Source organism: Homo sapiens, chromosome 4 (assembly GCF_000001405.40).
Source record: "Homo sapiens chromosome 4, GRCh38.p14 Primary Assembly".
Taxonomy (NCBI): domain Eukaryota; kingdom Metazoa; phylum Chordata; class Mammalia; order Primates; family Hominidae; genus Homo; species Homo sapiens.
This window is the reverse complement of record NC_000004.12, coordinates 98,343,758-98,363,624: the sequence shown is the minus strand read 5'-3', so window position 1 is coordinate 98,363,624 and position 19,867 is coordinate 98,343,758. Positions and strand designations below refer to the sequence as shown.

The following is a 19,867-nucleotide window of genomic DNA, read 5'->3' as shown; positions in this document are numbered from 1 at the left end:
GTTTGTTTCTTGAACTTTATCACACAATACTCCCTGTTCACAGTATCTTGCATAACCTGGTTTCCTTTCTGAATTTCTACCAAATCCCTTGCCCTCTCAGGGCTTTACAATTACTACACTTTTTTTTTTTTTTTTTTTTTTTTTTTGAGACAGGGTCTCACTGTTATTTAGGCTGGAGTGCTGTGGTGTGATGGCTCACTGCAGCCTAGAACTCCTGGGCTCAAGTGATCCTCCCACCTCAGCCTCCAGAGTAGCTGGGATTACAGACACGTGCCACCATAATGGCTCATTTTTTATTTTGTAGAGACAGAGTCTTGCTGTGTTGCCCAGGCTGGTCTCAAACTCCTGGCCTCAAGCAGCCCTTGAGCCTTGCCATCCCAAAATTCTGGGATTACAGATGTGAGCCACCACACTTAGCTCAATTACTCTACTTCTATAAGGAATATTCTTCCTCTTCTCTTAGCTGGCTCATTCTCATTTTCCAGACCTCAGCTTAAATAACATCCACAGAGAGAACTTTCTTCACCCTCAAATACACTCCATTATTATACATCACCTTCTTTATTCCCTTGATGTCAGTCATCACAATCTATAAATATCTTTTCTGTAGTATTTACTTGTTTATTATCTACCTCCTCCTGTGAAAGCCTCACAAGGATAGAGACTTCTTGCTCATTCTTTCCCCTATAATCCCCATCACAGGCAGTGTCCCCTAAACATAGTTGGTTCAATCAATATGTGTGGATTTAATTGTAGTATGTATACACCAAAGAATACAAAGACATAGAGTGAGAATTTCCTGGCATTTACTCATTATTTCATATCTTCTCAGTACATACATTTTGTAAGTACAATCATTACTATAAAAATATGTGACCTATATCCTCAAAGGGAGAGAACAATAATTTGTGGTGTTAAAAAGGAAGTTTTCACACTCAAAGAGATTAGAAGTCAGGGATGTAAATCATGAGCAGCAACGTATTTTTCTAAGTCTGAAATACTGGCCATTCTGATCTGCATGATTATGAAGGCTTTTTTTTTCCCATTCCTATTAAATATACTGCTTTTAATTTTGCCAAGTTCTATTTTAATTTCCTGGAGCAGGGAAATGGTAATAGACATACCTACATTGTGTTAGTTGTTGTCTGTTTTCAGACAAGGTCTTGCTCTGTCACCCAGGCTGGAGTGTGGTAGCACAATCATGTCTCCCTGCAGCCTTGAACTCCCAGGCTCGTGTCATCCTACCTCAGCCTCCTGAGTAGCAGGACTACAGAAGTGCTCCATCATGCACAGCTAAATTTATTTTTTGTAGAGATGCGATCTTGCTATGACGCCCAGGCTAATCTTGCACTCCTGGGCTCAAGTGATCCTCTCACCTTAGCCTCTGAAAATGTTAGGATCACAGCTGTGAGCCACCACATGCAGACCCTACATTGTTTTTCAAGATAAAGTTAAAATGTATTTATGAAGTCTACTAGGAAAGAAAATTAAATTCTAATGCTTACATTTCCCCCTATAATTTTGCCAACAGTGAATTTCTATTATGTACCTTAGACATAATCGAATGTTTTCAGCATTCAAATAAAAAAGCTCATGAATATCGTTTCTAAAACTCAAAACGCAATTTATTCACCTTCCAGATTCAGGCAAAATCCCTGAAAGACTAGATATAAAAGCAAAAGCTATAACATATTACATAAGTAAAATCACAAAAATGAGTCATGAAGAAAAAGCCACCATGACTGTTAAGTGCACACATATCAAAAGAGAAGCATGCAATTTGCAATTTTGTGACATTATATTCAGGTTTAAAAATCTGCATTTAGGTGGGAAAATTTCAAGGTGTATATACATTTACACTTGTAATGCCAGATCAGGAAAAGTAAATGAATTAAATCTTTCATTTCCCAAAGCACTAGTACCAAGGGCACAGCATAAAATGAGGTTATGGCCCAGCATTTGATGGACACAGTTTTTGGTGTGCCTGCTGATACTAGTATTAATTTCTGTTGTCCAACAGATTTCTCACATTAGTTAAAATTGTTCAATAATTCTACTTTTTCAAAAACCCTTTATCTAATAAAGGCTCCATAAATGGCAATACATTTCCTAAAGAAATTACTAAAGCTTTCTTTACTCCCTATATTTTTATATTTCTGTATCATTTTATTAGCAAAAGACTGAATATCTTTATACACAAATTATAAAGTCATTTAACTCAATTATTTCCATAAAAGTTACTTTTACATAGCATTTAGATAATAATGTATGTAATTTATTGTTCCAATTTATTACTCCAATTGTTCAAGATCAAAACGTTTTATAAATATTTTAAATATAAAAGGTGTTTTTGTACCAAACTATTTCATACTTAAATTATGCTAGACTATATATATATGTATATATATATGTGTGTGTGTGAGAGCAAATGCATATATAGTTATTTAGAATTTAATCTGAACTGATGACAGCATAGTTTCTCAACGGGTAAAAACATTTTACTCAGCAGGAAAAATGTAAATTATTCACTCTTTTTTTTTTTTTTTTTGAGACAGAGTCTCACTCCGTCACCTAGGCTGGAGTACAGTGCTGTGATCTTAAATCACTGCCTCCTGGGTTCAAGCAATTCTCATGCCCCAGCCTCCCAAAGCTGGAATTACAGGTATATGCCACCATGCCTGGCTAGTTTTGTTTTGTTTTGTTTTCTTTTTAAAAAGTAGAGATGGGGTTTCACCATGTTGACCAGACTGCTCTTGAACTCCTGACCTCAAGTGATCCACCTGCCTCGCCCTCCCAAAATGATGGGATTACAAGCGTGAGCCACTATGCCTGGCCCTGAATTATTCACTTTTACGTAGCATTTATTTTTCATATTTCCTCACCGCCAAGGAAAATGCACCCTACTTGTAGCAAGGAAAAGGCTGATTAAAAGTTGAGAAAGTTCTCAGTACTTCAACTTGGTTACAAATAAGAAAATTTTAAAAATGTAAACAAAACCCTATTAAAAAGAGCAGAGGATAATATGTGTTGACAGGGTTTCAATAAGCAGACTGGAAATCTTATGTTTCACATATCTAAACTTTGACTTTAACAGGTGAAATGAGAGTGGTAAAGGTAAGGGGAAAAAACAGATTTAGACAAAAAATGTTTTTAAACCCCCAAGTAGGCCTCTATAATTAGACTTTTCCCACCCTACCTAAGTCCTCTTAATGAGGAAAGGAAAGTTCTAAAGCCATTCAGACTTCTGACTCAGAGAATGGGGGTGGGGTTGGGGGGGAAGGCAACCATATATGACTTCTTATTGAACCCAAGAAAAATCATCTAATATTTTTGCCACGTGCAATACTCTCTCACAGGTTGCCTCTACTTTCGTATCTATAAAATTAAGAACAATTACTCGAAATTACTATTTCATGTCTTCCCTAAGACATTAGCTTTTTATAACATAGTATTTGGAAAGTAATCAAGCATGGGGAAAAAAGCAGTAATATGTGTTCTTTGTCCTACAATTTTAAGGTAAACTTTATAGAATCTTGGATTTCCAAACACCATTTAATAAAAGAGGGATTTAAATTTAATACCAAGTACAAAAATGGAAAGATCATAGTTTCTCAAAGTGTAAACTATCTGAAGAGATAGAGTACTTTACATTGCTTAAATAAACCTGGTGCAGTGCTACGCAAAAACCAGCCAAACTGATAATAAACTATCTGAGTACTGTCTCTCACTTTACAATATAATTTCGTTCTCTCTGCCGCAGTCACTATTTACCACACCACACCCGGCCTCCTGTAATGGCTTCCTGATATCTCTGCCTCACATCTCTGTCCATTCCAATTAGACTATATGATGCTACAAAACTGAAAATATCAATTTCTTCAAGTTACTTTCAGAGGCTCCTTCCTGTCCACATATCAAAGTCAAAATAATTCCTTAGCCTATAGACATTTTAAGCACACTATACATTAATGGATGCACAATCAAGATCTCTACCATAGCATACCTATATTACTATTTGGCTATTTTAAAAAATCGTATCTTCATGATTTACATGTCCTACAGCCCCAATTTTGAACTTTCCCCCAAAACCACAAACTTCCTACCATCATTTTGGTGTTGACTTTTATTAACAGATGAGCCTGACATCTACCTTACTGGGAAGACAGAACTATACCCAGAAATACACTTTTGAGTGCCCTCTTTACTACTTAAAGGTTTTTTTATACTTTCATTTATCTTCTGTCTTTTATTCTCTATGGCAGAAATGTCCTTTCTCATTTTAATATCAACCTGTTTACTTGAGTTCATAATTTCACTTTTTTTGGTCTATAATATTTCCCTATCAGTTATTCCCTTTCTAGGAAATTTACTCTGCTTTTGTCCCTAGGTCCTAACCCAACAAATACGAATTCCCACTCCGTAAATCTTATTTTAGGGCTGTTAGGTTTTTGTTGATTTTTTTCCATAAAAGTCCAATTTGGAGGGAGAAAAAATTACAGGCATTTTTGTCTTTCACATTAATTGCACAAACTCATTAAAATTACTGCTGTGAGCTATGCTGTAAAATTTTATGTGTATGCCTGCTGCCCCCACCTCCCACCTCAGGTACTGCTGAAACAACAAGGTCATTTCCCATAGGGAAGAGAATATATATGCTTTCTGGATAGGTGAGGTTTTAAAACTTTTTATTTAGAAGTAATTAGAGGCTCACAAGAAGTTATTTAAAAAAAAAAAGCACAGAAAGGTCTCATGTACCCTTTATCCAGCCTCCTCCAATGGTAACATTGCATAACTCTACTACACAATAGCATAACCAGGACACTGACATTGGTACAATGTCAGACCTTATTCATATTTCATCAGTTTTTACATGCATTAGTGTATGTGTATGGGCATGTATGGTTCTAAGCAATTCTAACATATGTACAGATTTGTGTACCACAACTAAAGTGGTATTTTAAAATACTCACTTTCATGCTAGTCAGGTTTCCATCAAACTGATAATGGGCTCAAAAATCAGAGATAAACATGGTTTTTGGTCTCAAGAAATAGAACTTGGATATATCACACAACACAGAGAAAAGGATAAAGTACAATGAATGGAAACCAGAATTGTATTCTGGTTTTAAACTAAACTAGGAAATATATTCAAGTCAAAACTTTTTCAAATTTTTAAACTGAATCCTTTAAGCAAGTTTAACCACCAAAAAACAACACACTCGGGATATACTACCCAAATAAAACTACCTTCTGTAAAGTCCTCAGTATTATTTCCCAGATTCTGTTGAAGATTAGTACAAGAAACAATCACATGGAAAACATCTGGGCAACTTTTGTAGAACCGTCACTAGGTACACTATAATGCCAGTAAATATCCTTACATATTGTAACTAGGTATGTGCACAGAATCATCTAGGGAATTAATGACATCCTGATAAGTCCCTCCTACTATTTTGTCTCAAAAGTTGTTTGATTAAAGAACTAAAATATTCCTTTTTATCATAAAATAAAAATTACAAGGCATATCAAGTTGTTTTTTCACATAGGCTGCCAAGAAGCTCAAGTGAAATCAGTGCTTATACACAGTTAAGCACATTATCCCTGCTTCCCACCAGATTTATCTTTGCCTCTCTTTATATGGCTTCTGGCTTTTATATCTTTATGGAAATACCTTTTGTATGTTATTGTATGTATTACACTGAGTCACACACACTTTTTATATAAACATACTTAATCCACACAAGCTTACTTTACCAAGGAGGAAATTAAAATCAGAAAAATTAAATGACAACTTAGTGAATGGTGGAGCTGGAAATCACATTCATTTGCAATACCAACTTTCTAGGGGTTATATTAAAATTTTATACATTTATAATTATATTAATTTGTAAACAAATTCTTTTCTAAGCAATGCACTATTTGGTTAATTTCTTAAAAAACAGCTACAGTTAATATTCTTATTAATTTTCATTCTGATAAAAAAACATATTTAGTGTGTGCTCTGTAATTGTCCTCAGGTTGTGTTCCTTTGTTCATTTTATTTTCTCTACCATTTAAAAAGCTCTTTAATGGCATATGCTTGTGTTTAGAGCTTATGATAGTGTTACAAAACAACATCTACTTCAATCTATATTTAGAATGTCTTTATAGTGGAATGCTTTCATGTGATAATAGTCATAACTACTATCTCTAAAAGTAGCAGTAACATATTGTTGTTTATTCTTATACACATGATGTACTTTAATAATAAACTCATAAAATACAACAGATTGATGAAAACTGAAGAATCTTATTTTTACGCTACTTACTGACTGATAATTCTATTTTATTCTAAAACTGAATAACACAGAAAATAGGGTAAATACAAAGACTTGCATGAGACTTTAATAACATACCTAATATAACTCATCAAATAACCTAATTGGTATCACTGAAATAAACATTTATTTTAAATGCTGGATATAAATAGTTCCCTTTTGAATATAACTGTTGCAAATATATTTTGATTACTTTGGCAATTTCAAAGTATGTCTGTATCATATTAATATATACTTTTCTGACCAACTTACATGATAAAATATTGTACAATTATTGGTAACTATTTTTCAGTATTTGCAGTAAGAACTATAATTCCTTCTACACTATTTTTATATAAAGAATTTTTACATAAAAATAAAGACTTTATATTAAAATAGTGTAGCACAAGAATCGCCAATATACAAACGGATACATGCATATGTTTCAGCATCCTTCCCATTTATACTTGATGTCAATGAATAAACAATATTTCACTTCATAAACACTGGCTTTGGCAAGACTGATTACTACCTCATTTTAATATTTACTCATCAGCAAGGAAGAATACAACTTTTTATCTTATGTATGATAGCATATCATATAAGCTTAAGTGTACATATCTTTCCAATAATAGTACCAGTTATATAATAAGCATACATTTTATTTCTATAAAGAGGTATATTTGTTTAATTTTAAAACATTTTTATTTGATTTGTACATTATTCTTCCTCGGTGTATAAAAAGGCACAAATATTTAATTTCACGTAATCATTTTCTTCTAGCCTCTACTAATATCTTTTAACCAGTAGATCAAGTAACAATTATTTTCTGACCTCAGGCAGTAATATCCACAAAACAGAACACTAGTCTCAAATCACCAATTTATCCCCAGGAATTATAAATACAGGATGGGAATTTAACATAAAGCTTTTTAAAACTATAAGGCCATTTAAGTATATCAGCAATTTAAAATGTGTACAGTTATATAAACAAATCAATAAAATGAGGAATGCCACAAAGACAGCTATATAAGAACATAATCCTCTTTTTTATAAAACCTTTGAAAAGGAAGTGTAAATAGGCCAAAGGCATGCATTTCTGAAATATAATACTACTGCGCTTTAAAACCACATTCCCTGGTGTATCCCATCAATCGCACATATTTTGATTATTTCTTTCCAAATTGAAATACAACTTTCCTTTCTTCTCTGATCTGAAAGATGTCAAATTTCTCATAAAAAGAGTTATTTTGGCAAAGTTAAAGGGCAGAAGCATTTTAAAATATTGCTTATATCAGAAGTCTGTTCGGATACTTCGAAAGAGAAATACATAAATGAAGTGCCTTGCAGCTCTCTGGAAGAAAAGAGACCAAGCATTTTAAATGAAAAACGTTCCCAGCCAGTGAGTGATTCTTTCATCTCTATATGCAAGAAGGAGACTGGGATTCAAAAAGTTCATCAGCAACAAAGCTTTACTCCGTCCCATTTAGCGGTATGCCAGTCTGTTACCTCATGTCAGGATTATATAAGGCCGTTTTCTTCCATTAGGAAAAGTTCCTAAAATGGGCACTGTCAAGGCTGGTAAAACTGAAATCTGACCTAGTTTTTCTCCAAAGATTTCCACGGATTTTATGGTAATTCTTTCTACAGTTGGAGCTCACCTCCTTTCAAATACACTATGCTAACTGAAATATGCTAGCAAATGCTTTACTTTTCATGTGTCAAAGTAAAAATCTATAGAACATGTATGAATTTCTCAAATTTTTATCTCCAATAGTGAATTCTACACTTGATCTTAGCCAACAGGCCGAGAAGTGATCCAATAGTGAAGTCTTTATACTACTTTCTATTTACATCAACTTTACTATCTACTGTAAGCCTACTATCATCCTGAATAAACCTATGTTAAAAAAATTATTCATTTGGAGTACATTAATAAAATGGAAATCAACTGATTAGCCCCATAGGTAAGTTAGATAAAACACAAATATATGAACTCTTTAGAACATACTTTATTTGAAAGAAGAAGATTCTTTGTATTGATCACAAGGCTATCATGTAGTTTTCTATACTCCTTTTAAAAATGAAGCATTACATTCCCGAGAGTGAAGAAGGTTGATGAATTAAAATAGAAGCCACTAAAAACTTGTTTAAAAAGGAAAAATTTCCAGTTGTCAGAAAATAAAATGAGAAATGCATTTCAAGTAAATTCCCAAATCAACCACACAACATCACATTTACAAGGCTTTTATATTATTCTTGTAATTCAAGTATAAACACTGTAATTGTCCTGCAATCATTCTAGAAAAATCACAAAGAAGTTGACAGAATTTAATTTTGAATAAAAGGGTAAGAAAGCATGCAGTCTATGGAAATTATATGCATATGAAAGCATGGCACAATAAATACATTTTCATCACATGATTTATATTAAGTAATGAATCACTTCTTACATTTATTCACTTTTAAGACTTCAAACTTCATTTTCCTGAACTAAAGTTTAAAAGTATAAAAATATGGGCTGTATTTACTATGCTTAATCATTTAGCTATGACTTCCATTGAACTAAATGAGGATAAGTTGGTTATAAATATTCATAATAAAATGAAAAAAATTAACTTCATAACTTAAAGGATATCCATAGAACTTTATATTGTATATCCCATAAGATAAATAGATATGATAAATACTATAATAATGGACTTCAGTTTCATCAAAAGAATAATCTTGTTAACTAGACATTTATTACCCTAACTTCAAGGTTCTTTAGAATACACAGGAAATAAAATTACTCTATGCCCATAAAAACCAAGGCAATATGAGACAAAATATCACTGTGTGTATTTCTATTTTATTAATAGGAAAAACTCCAGGACAAAAGTTCTCAAAACAGGTAATATTCTCTATGTTCAAACAATGTATAATTCAAGAACAACTAAAATGAACAAGGTTTAAAGAATACTTTTGGGCTGGGCGCGGTGGCTCACGCCTGTAATCCCAGCACTTTGGGAGGCCGAGGCGGGTGGATCATGAGGTCAGGAGATCGAGACCATCCTGGCTAACAAGGTGAAACCCCGTCTCTACTAAAAATACAAAAAATTAGCCGGGCGCGGTGGCGGGCGCCTGTAGTCCCAGCTACTCGGGAGGCTGAGGCAGGAGAATGGCGTGAACCCGGGAAGCGGAGCTTGCAGTGAGCCGAGATTGCGCCACTGCAGTCCGCAGTCCGGCCTGGGCGACAGAGCGAGACTCCGTCTCAAAAAAAAAAAAAAAAAAGAATACTTTTGGTACCCTTAAATTCCAGTAACAAACACAGAAAAGTAAGAATAAAAACAGTAATAATCAGTACTCTCCAAGTACATGCCACTAATCTTTTGACTATTACTCAGCTGAGGTCTAATATATGTTGCTAAAATTAATCATATAAATATATAATAAATGATTCAGTCTTGAAAGTTGATATTATAAACTATGGTGCTTAATAAAAATCCTAAATATGAAAACACAAAATTATAAACATAAAGCAACAGAATTTTGTAAATAAAGCTAATACCCTATGATAAAAAGAACTGGATTGAAGGAGCAGATAAGCAGATTTACAGGCTATACTGGGGACTGAAAACTGAAGTTAAAATTCATATTAAGACATCTATGTCCTCAGATTCATTACTGACATTTCAATACTTATGGCTATTGTAGCTCCTATTTCAGAAAAAGTAAGAAAAGGAGAATAAATGAGGCTAGCTTTACGACTACTGCTATATATGAGTTATAACTATAGTTTCAATCTTTTTTCCTACTTCTTTATCATAAATGAATATATTTATGTCCTTTCTTTCTGGCTTATATGCATAAATCACTTTTTGAAGGACTGCCTATTATAAAAGGGCCATATCTTTTGTGTTATAACAAAATATAACTCATCCGAGTTAAACACTCAATGGGGAAAATAAGCACTAAAAGTTATCCTAGTTATAGAAATAAAACTAAATTCCTAGGAGGCATTACAGGTGAATGATAAAATACGTGTTTTGGCTCAGCAAATAAAACTCTAAGGAAAATCAGAATAAGCCTAGTTAAGCTAAATATACTTAAAATTCTTTTCTGTATTTTGTTTATATGTAGAAAGGGGAAGTAGAAATTGTTAACGCTGTTACAATATACCCATACCCCAGTTCTTGCTTTCTTTTTGCCTAGTAGAACAGTATATTATAGAATGTGGTGAGGATGACAATGATATAATGACAAACAGGAATGGAGTCAATGCAAATGTAATGGGCCAATCTAGCTTTTGAGAAGAGAATGGTTTTTATGATTGGTTTTACCGAACTGCAAATAATTAAAAATGTATTTGGACAGACGCAGAAACTTTAAAAAACTGTGTCCATAAGCATTCCCATTCAGAGATAATATTTCAATGAAACCTAATTGAGAAGATGCACATATGTATTTTTTCTAAACTTACAGCCCCAATTTCTTAGAAACTGACTTAATTTCCTCTGAAAATATCATTTGTGATAACAGAGGAAAACATTTCATTTCCTATGATTTCTTTGATAAGAATACAACGACCTGAATCTCCATAAATTCTGCTAAATAAGCAGTGCTGAATCATGCCGGCCCATGTTAGTGTTTTAGCCTAGAAAAGTCACTGCTAACACAAAAGCAGATTAGTCTGAATATCATAATTCTTAAAAATGTATGTGTATTATTGAGATGTCAACACTTACGGCTATCGTAACATATGTTTCCTAGAGCCCTGCCCGTTTGAAGCAGCACTTCCTGGTCTTTGCTATTTAGCAGCTGCACCAGTGGTGAAATCAATCCAGCATCCACACATGGAATTCGCATAAACTCTGAAAATAAGAGACATGTTTAATTAAAAATCTAACGATTCACAATTTACATAAATCATCTCCCCTAATAAAATAAATACCTACTTTTAATATGTGGTATTTAAAAGCCACCTTGAAAAGGTGGCTGAATATTTGAAGAGTACATTTCTGTACAAAAGTACCCTGTTACAGCCCTACTAAAAGCTTCATAAAATACACAAAACTGAGTGGGGTCATATTTTTGTTTGCTGACAGTCTCTACCATAAACCAAAGGGATTTTAATTAACTTACATCACAACTAATTTATCACTATCTTCTCGTAATAACGATATGCTTTGGAAGCAATATGTGTGATGATGGAAACAATGGCGATGTATTTCTATAAGCCTGATAATTAAAGTACTACAGTTATAAACTAAGCCATCATATTGCCTAATTTTTCACTTTGTTTTCTAAAAAAGCCTATAAATATAAATATATATATAAATATAAGTATATACATATGTATAAAGGTTTCAGTGAACCATTAAAAAATAATATGTCCTTTTTGATTGGTAAGATGTGGTGGAATCATCCTCTTCTTATCTTCACTCCTGTCCTTTATTAAAATCCATTTTATGGCTCACTCATATCTGCTGCTATACCCATACATTTACAGGTCTAAAGAGTCAAATCTTAAGATTTCTTAAATTTCAAACCCATTTTTTCCTTATTTTTATGGTATGCCATTCTTTATGTATTAACTCACCATGATACCACCACAGTCATGATTGGACATAAACTTTTTTTTTTTTTCAGTGTCTCATGATGGACCACTACAAAACATAAGGAAGTATGTAACTGATGAAATTTCTCCAATAACCAATAACTGAATTACCTTTTTGGACATCACAACTCACCATAAGGATGTTCTGGTCAATAAAGTTAGTTAACAAAGAACTAATTTATCCATCTATAACCTGTCCTACTAAAAAAATCACTATCTTTTCACTCTATCAAGATGGTCTACCCCTTGGTTTGTTCCACAGGTACCCTCATGAGCAATCCTCCCTCTCTTTCCCTTCATTTTCAAATTCTTAGAGCATACCATATAGGTTATTCTGTCAGCTGTCACCTCTGAGACAACTTCTTTTCCTCCTAAGATAGCTGTAAATCACAGAGGTATTCCTCTGTCCCGAAATAAATGAATTAATTCCTATCATCTCTTTCTTACTTATTACTCTACCACTAAAAATCCCCTGTAATGTAAACTTCTAAGACTCAGATTATTTCCTATCTCAACAACTAACCTTTGAGCTTATCATTGACGTTATCAAACTCAGTAGTACTAAGTATCCTACTACTCATGTTAAGAAAATGAATTATGCTGTACATGTTCATGAATTCAATGACCATCTATAGGAGATGACACATCAATCTGCTTATCTACCTCTTTAGTTAATGGTTACTTTAGACCCTTCATAGATTTCAAATCTTTTTCTTCTTGAGACAAGGTGTCACCCTATCACCCAGACTGGAATGTAATGGCATGATAATGGCTCACTGTAGCCTCGAACTCCTGAGCTTAAGGGATCCTCCCTGACCTCAGCCTCCTGCATAGCTGGAGCTACAGGTGTGTACCACCAGGCCTAGATAATTTTATTTATGTATTTATTTTTGAGACGGAGCCTTGCTTTGTCACCCAGGCTGGAGTGCAATGGCACAGTCTCGGCTCACTGCAACCTCTGCCCCCTGGGTTCAAATGATTCTTCTGCCTCAGCCTCCCGAGTAGCTGGGACTACAGGCAAGTGCCACCACAGCCAGCTAATTTTTGTATTTTTAGTAGAGATGGGGATTCACTATGTTGGCCACGCTGGTCTTGAACTCCTGACCTCGTGATCCACCTGCCTTGGCCTCCCAAAGTGCTGAGATTACAGCCGTGAGCCACCACGCCCGGCCAATTTTTTATTTTTTTATAGACAGAGTTTCACTATGCTGCCCTGGCTGGTGTCGAACTTCTAGGCTCAAGTGATCCTCCCATTGTGGCCTCCCAAAATGCTAGGATTATAGGTGAGAACCACCAGGCCTGGACTAGATTTCAAATCTTAAATTAACATGCTACTAACTCATATTAAACACAGATGTTCATTATCCTTTTCACTGAACTATGCCTGGTTCCCAACAGTAAGATGATTTCATTGACTACTAAAACAAGAAATTTAGGAACGGTCTGATTTGTACTCATTCATAAATAAAACTTGTTTATCTTATTATTTTGCTTGTTTTGTTATTGCTATTCAGGCAATGGCAACATTGAAGAATTACTGTGTTTCTTTTATGTTTTGCCTATATGATACCAATCTTTCAAAATTTGGACTCTACAATCAATAGCTTCAAGTATTCTTGGAATAATAGAGGGTAAATAATTACAGAAAAATTGTGGAATCAAAACTCTTTGGAACCATTTTTTACTCAAAAACATATAAAGATAAAACAAAGCTAATATATTCCTCAGCTTTCAGTCACTGTCAGTCTCTGGATAAAGTAAAAAAGAATTTCTTCTAAAACTCATTTGCTTTTCAGCTAATTTACTTTTTTAAACAAAGAGTGGTAGTCCTCGCTAGCTAATTTTAAAGACATAAAGTTATCATGCTTCAGGCAGATATATTAAAAAAAAAAACAGGGATGTTTAAGAATCTGTTTAAAATGTGCAAAAATCATAAGCATTCTTATACACCAATAACAGACAAACAGAGAGCCAAATCATGAGTGAACTCCCATTCACAATTGCTTCAAAGAGAATAAAATACCTAGGAATCCAACTTACAAGGGATGTGAATGACCTCTTCAAGGAGAATTACAAACCACTGCTCAACGAAATAAAAGAGGACACAAACAAATGGAAGAACATTCTATGCTCGTGGATAGGACGAATCAGTATCGTGAAAATGGCCATACTGCCCAAAGTAATTTATAGATTCAATGCCATCCCCATCAAGCTACCAATGACTTCCTTCACAGAATTGGAAAAAACTACCTTAAAGTTCATATGGAACCAAAAAAGAGCCCACATTGCCAAGTCAATCCTAAGCCAAAAGAACAAAGCTGGAGGCATCACACTACCTGACTTCAAACTATACTACAAGGCTACAGTAACCAAAACAGCATGGTACTGGTACCAAAACAGAGAGCTAGACCAATGGAACAGAACAGAGGCCTCAGAAATAATACCACACATTTACAACCATCTGATCTTTGACAAACCTGACAAAAACAAGAAATAGGAAAGGATTCCCTATTTAACAAATGGTGCTGGGAAAACTGGTTAGCCATATGTAGAAAGCTGAAACTGGATCCCTTCCTTACACCTTATACAAAAATTCATTCAAGATGGATTAAAGACTTAAATGTTAGACCTAAAACCATAAAAACCCTAGAAGAAAACCTAGGCAATACCATTCAGGACATAGGCATGGGCAAGGACTTCATGTCTAAAACACCAAAAGCAATGGTAACAAAAACCAAAATTGACAAATGGGATCTAATTAAACTAAAGAGCTTCTGCATTGCAAAAGAAACTACCATCAGAGTGAACAGGCAACGTACAGAATGGGAGAAAATTTCTGCAATCTACTCATCTGACAAACGGCTAATATCCAGAATCCACAAAGAACTCAAACAAATTTACAAGAAAAAAACAAACAACCCCATCAAAAACTGAGCGAAGGATATGAACAGACACTTCTCCAAAGAAAACATTTATGCAGCCAACAGACACATGAAAAAATGCTCATCATCACTGGCCATCAGATAAATGCAAATCAAAACCACAATGAGATACAATCTCACACCAGTTAGAACAGTGATCATTAAAAAGTCAGGAAACAACAGGTGCTGGATTGGCTGTGGAGAAATAGGAACACTTTTACACTGTTGGTGGGACTGTAAACTGGTTCAACCATTGTGGAAGACAGTGTGGCGATTCCTCAAGGATCTAGAACTAGAAATACCATTTGACCCAGCAATCCCATTACTGGGTATATACCCAAAGGATTATAAATCATGCTGCTATAAAGACACATGCACACGTATGTTTACTGTGGCACTATTCATAATAGCAAAAACTTGGAACCAACCCAAATGCCCATCAATGATAGACTGGATTAAGAAAATGTGGCACATATACACCATGGAATATTATGCAGCCATAAAAAACGAATGAGTTCATGTCCTTTGTAGGGACATGGATGAAGGTGGAAACCATCATTCTCAGCAAACTATCACAGGGACAAAAAAACAAACACCACATGTTCTCACTCACAGGTGGGAATTGAATAATGAGAACACTAGGACATAGGAAGGGGAACATCACACACCGGGGCCTGTTGTGGGGTGGGGGTACGGGGGAGGGATAGCATTAGGAGATATACCTAATGTAAATGACGAGTTAATGGGTGCAGCACACCAACATGGCACATGTGTACATATGTAACAAACCTGCACGTTGTGCACATGTACCCTAGAACTTAAAGAATAATAATAATAAAAAAGAATATGTTTAAAATGTTATACATATTATGTTGGAGAGGCTTCAGAATGGCTGACAGTCGTCCTTCTTCAAAGGGGTTCCTACTACCTATACCTCTACATTCACACCTGCTATCTTTCACAGCTGGCTGGATTCTGACTCAATAGCCTAAAAGATGGTCTACTTTGAAGGATTTCCTAAAAAGAACAATGGCGATGAACTTAAAAAGAAACAGGCAAAAAATCAGATTCTCTCTCTAGGCAATTTGAACTCGGAGAACTGAAAATTTTGGTTCGGGGAAAGGGGCAGTACTGCAAGGGAAAGAGGCTGAAACCAAGATACATGCAGAATGACAGTGAATAGAAATCAACGTTAGTGGATGCCATTATGCTGTAGAAAGCAGGAGCCATTAAGTGTTTCTGTATATGTGTATTTGCCTACACAACATAGAATTCACTTTTTTTTCTTTGCAAAACATGTATAGGTTAATGTAGAAATTCAATACAGAGGTTTAAGGAATAGGTACTGCTCTATTTCAATATCAATAAAAATAAAAAGTTGATTTCCACCTAAGACTAATGTTTTTCCCTTTGACTGTAGTAATACATTCATTAAATAATTGTCGATTATTTTTTATTCTTTTGTAAATTTAGAGTGTTAACGCTTTACTTTCTTTCTTTTACTTTCTCAAACCTACTTGAATTACATATTCTTTCAGCAGCATCATAAAGTACAGGCTGTGATGAAAATTATTTTCTTTTTATATACACCAAGATTTATATCCCCCTCACATATCCTCAAATATTAAAAAACCTAACATCTACTTTCTCCACTTTTACCTACCTGAAGAAACTATTTTATTAAAACTCTCTTTTAAACCAAAATTTTCAAGCCAAATAAAAACACTGAGTAGTAGAGTCCACCTCAGTGTTTATTAGACTAAATCATAACATATTCATGTTTGAATTTTCTCTAATAACTTCCCTGTATTAACTCTTAGCTTTTTATATTTTTCTTTTGAAAAACAAGGAAAACTATGAGGCATGAATATAAAAGAATGAGTGACTTTTATATGTGGGTTGTCAAACTGACATTTATATTTTTCACTCACTCTTTGTACTGCCCTTGTTTTTAAAGAAAGTACTGGCCGGGCGCAGTGGCTCACGCCTGTAATCCCAGCACTTTGGGAGACCAAGGTGGGCAGATCACGAGGTCAGGAGTTCGAGACCAGCCTGGCTAACATGGTGAAACCCCGTCTCTACTAAAGATACAAAAAATTAGCCGGGTGTGGTGGTACGTGCCTGTAATTCCACCTACTCAGGGGGCTGAGGCAGGAGAATTGCTTGAACCCGGGAGGTGGAGCTTGCAGTGAGCTGAGATCGCACCATTGCACTCCAGCCTGGGCGACTCCCTCTCAAAAAAAAAAAAAATAAATAATCATTCTTACAAAATGACGGAGGTTAAGCTTCCAACACTGAGGTCTCGAGGTATACTTTAAGCTACCTGACAATATAGTGCATTTTTCTGGAGTCTCAACTTTATTCAATGATTTTTCTAGGGCACACATGCATTTTATACTAAAATAAACATGTACTACATGTACCTGTTATGGAATAGAGGGCAAAATTAAAATAAATAAAACAGAACAGGAGACTTCTGTATTTCTGGTTAATGCTCTCACCAGGTCCTCTTGGGTGTACATTTTCACTCTTTTGTTGTTAAGAGCACTCAGGCGGAAGTTTTGATAAACACTTTGCAATATGATAAAGTACACAGAAGAACAAAAAAAGCATAATGTTAATCAAAAGTACTGATTCTGTACTGCTTTATACTGAAACGTGGTTCTCAAGCTTTATACTCATCAGCATTACCTAGAGGACTTGTTAAAACAGATGGTTGGGCCCACTCTTGAGTCCCTGATTCAGTAAGTCTGGGTGAGTGGATCCAAGAATTTGCATGTAACAAGTTCCCGGGTGAGTCTGTTGCTGCTACAGGTCAAAGGCAGGGAACTACTTTAGAGGAACAGACATAAAGCAGTTCAACTTTTGCTGGTTTTTATACATTTTCACATCAGTTACCAGCCCAATCTTTCAGGTTACATGCTGCTACCGCTGTACTCAGACCACCTCTACACATTCCACTGCCATCATAAATTCTCATTTACTGAAAAGAAATGAAAGGAGAGAAACAAACTAGTGCATAAAATCCAACTATCATCACTTAAGTGTGATGACAGGTAAGATATTTAGCCTCTATGTTTTCTTATCTGTATAAAATAACTCTATCTCATATGGGATTGAAATAATGTACACAACACTTAAATTATGTTAGCACAAAATCATAGCTGGCATTAAGAAGTATTACTATTATTATTAAATACTTTGAGAGCCCAATTCTGAAATATTCACAGATATGTCATATCTTATTTGTCCTTTGCCTCATATCAGTCTTAAGTCTATTATATAAGGGAATAATACATTTAAAAGGTCTAAAAAATCTTTTACTATAATTTATGGTCAAAGCTACCCTCCCACATTAAACTCGCCCACGGAACTTCTTACAAATCCTCTAAATTTTGAATGTCAGCACAAAGGTGTGTTAATTTTTAAAGATTCTTTTTGTGCGTACAAAAACCTATTTGGGGTTTATTTGAATGGAAGAAGTATATGCTAATATTTCTCCTCTGTGCACAGCAGAGTAAAGATGAACAAATTAACTTCCAACCTCATATTCTCTGGTTCATACAATCTTTTTCATCGTCAATTTCTAAAAAGAAATATATGCCCAATCAGTGTACTATGTTGTGTCAGGTTGCATTTCTGAAGTTACGTATTTCTTTTGAAAAGAACACTCAAAGGCCAGAATCAGTGGCTCATGCCTGTAATCCCAGCCCTTTGTGAGGCCAAGGCGGGAGGATCCCTTGAATCCAGGAGTTCGAGACAAGCCTGGGCAACATAGGGAGACCTTGTCTTTACAAAAAATAATAATAATTTAAAAATTAGCCAGGCATGGTGGCACATGCCTATGGTCCAGCTACTCAGGAGGCTGAGATAGGAGGATTGCTTGACCCTGGGAGGTCAAGGCTGCAGTGAACCGTGATCCTGCCACTACACTTCAGCCTGGGCGACACAGTAAGACCCTGTCTCAAAAACAAACAAACAAACAAAAACACTCAACAAGACTCTGGTCCACTTTCTCAGCCAATCACTTAAAAAAGTAATGTGGTCATGGAGTAATAAACACCATACCAATGTATCCTATTTATTTTAACCAGTGGAGGTTAGTGATATGCCCTTTATCAGCCTCTGATTAAAAGTATAAACATTAAAAATTCTATTATGTCTTTCGAACATAGCTGTCATCTACTAGAGTATTACTGTAAGAAACTCTTCAAAGCAGAGTTGTCATGAAATTGTGACAGAGCATTATGAGGAATATTATTAAGTAAGAGAATATAGGAATGGCAATCCATTTCACAAAAATCTGTTATCCAAAATTTCAGATTTTATACTATAAGAATGCTTAAGAAAAAAGATTTTAAGATAAAAATTGTGGAGTCTCTACCTTGATTTCTGGAAATCTATACTATGACTCTAACAAAGTTAAAAATAAAAGACTTGTTCTTAAAAACCAAGATGCTGGGTATCTAAGAAAATTCAGATAGGGGTTGGTCCAGGTTAACAAGCAATGTCTGGAAAGAATTCATTTTCAAACTAGATCTGCTTCTTAGATGTGACATATAAGAGTGATAAGTGGCCAATTTTCTAACAACCACCAAAAAATCATATACCAATATAGAATCTAACTGGAACTTGAAATGCATTTTGAGAACCTCTACACAAATGACACAGCTTCAAACAATTTTCTTTTTGGCAACACATCTAAAAATACATTGTTTTACCAGCCCAAACCAACATATACTGGTACTTTACAAAGCCACCTGCCATGATGATTACGCAAATTCCTTCACTTTAAAGAATAATATATGAAACATACTACAATAAAAGGCTAAAAAATAATGTAAAACTGACAAACTGAGGCAAACTAAAGGTATTATATATAGTACGGCCTTCTTATATGCTTAAACATTGCTTTAGGAATTCAGTGTTTTTCTCAAACGGACTGAATTAAAACCACATGCAAATATTTATGCTATGATATAATTCATCCAAAGAATCTCTCAGTGTATAAATAGTACACAATCTAAACTTTGTTGTCATTATTGTTTTTC

General features: G+C 34.7%; 1 protein-coding gene and 1 pseudogene across 11 annotated transcripts in view; both read right to left on the bottom strand.

Moving 5' to 3' along the window:
• RAP1GDS1 (Rap1 GTPase-GDP dissociation stimulator 1) overlaps positions 1–19,867 on the bottom strand; it is a 182,475-nt gene that overhangs the window by 80,234 nt on the left and 82,374 nt on the right. For all 11 annotated transcript variants that reach the window (NM_001100426.2, NM_021159.5, NM_001100428.2 and 8 more), the window contains one exon: positions 11,024–11,149. In NM_001100426.2, the coding sequence (NP_001093896.1) occupies positions 11,024–11,149 (126 nt within the window). The remainder of the gene's footprint in view (positions 1–11,023; positions 11,150–19,867) is intronic.
• On the bottom strand, positions 7,963–8,115 carry LOC124900919 (uncharacterized; annotated as a pseudogene).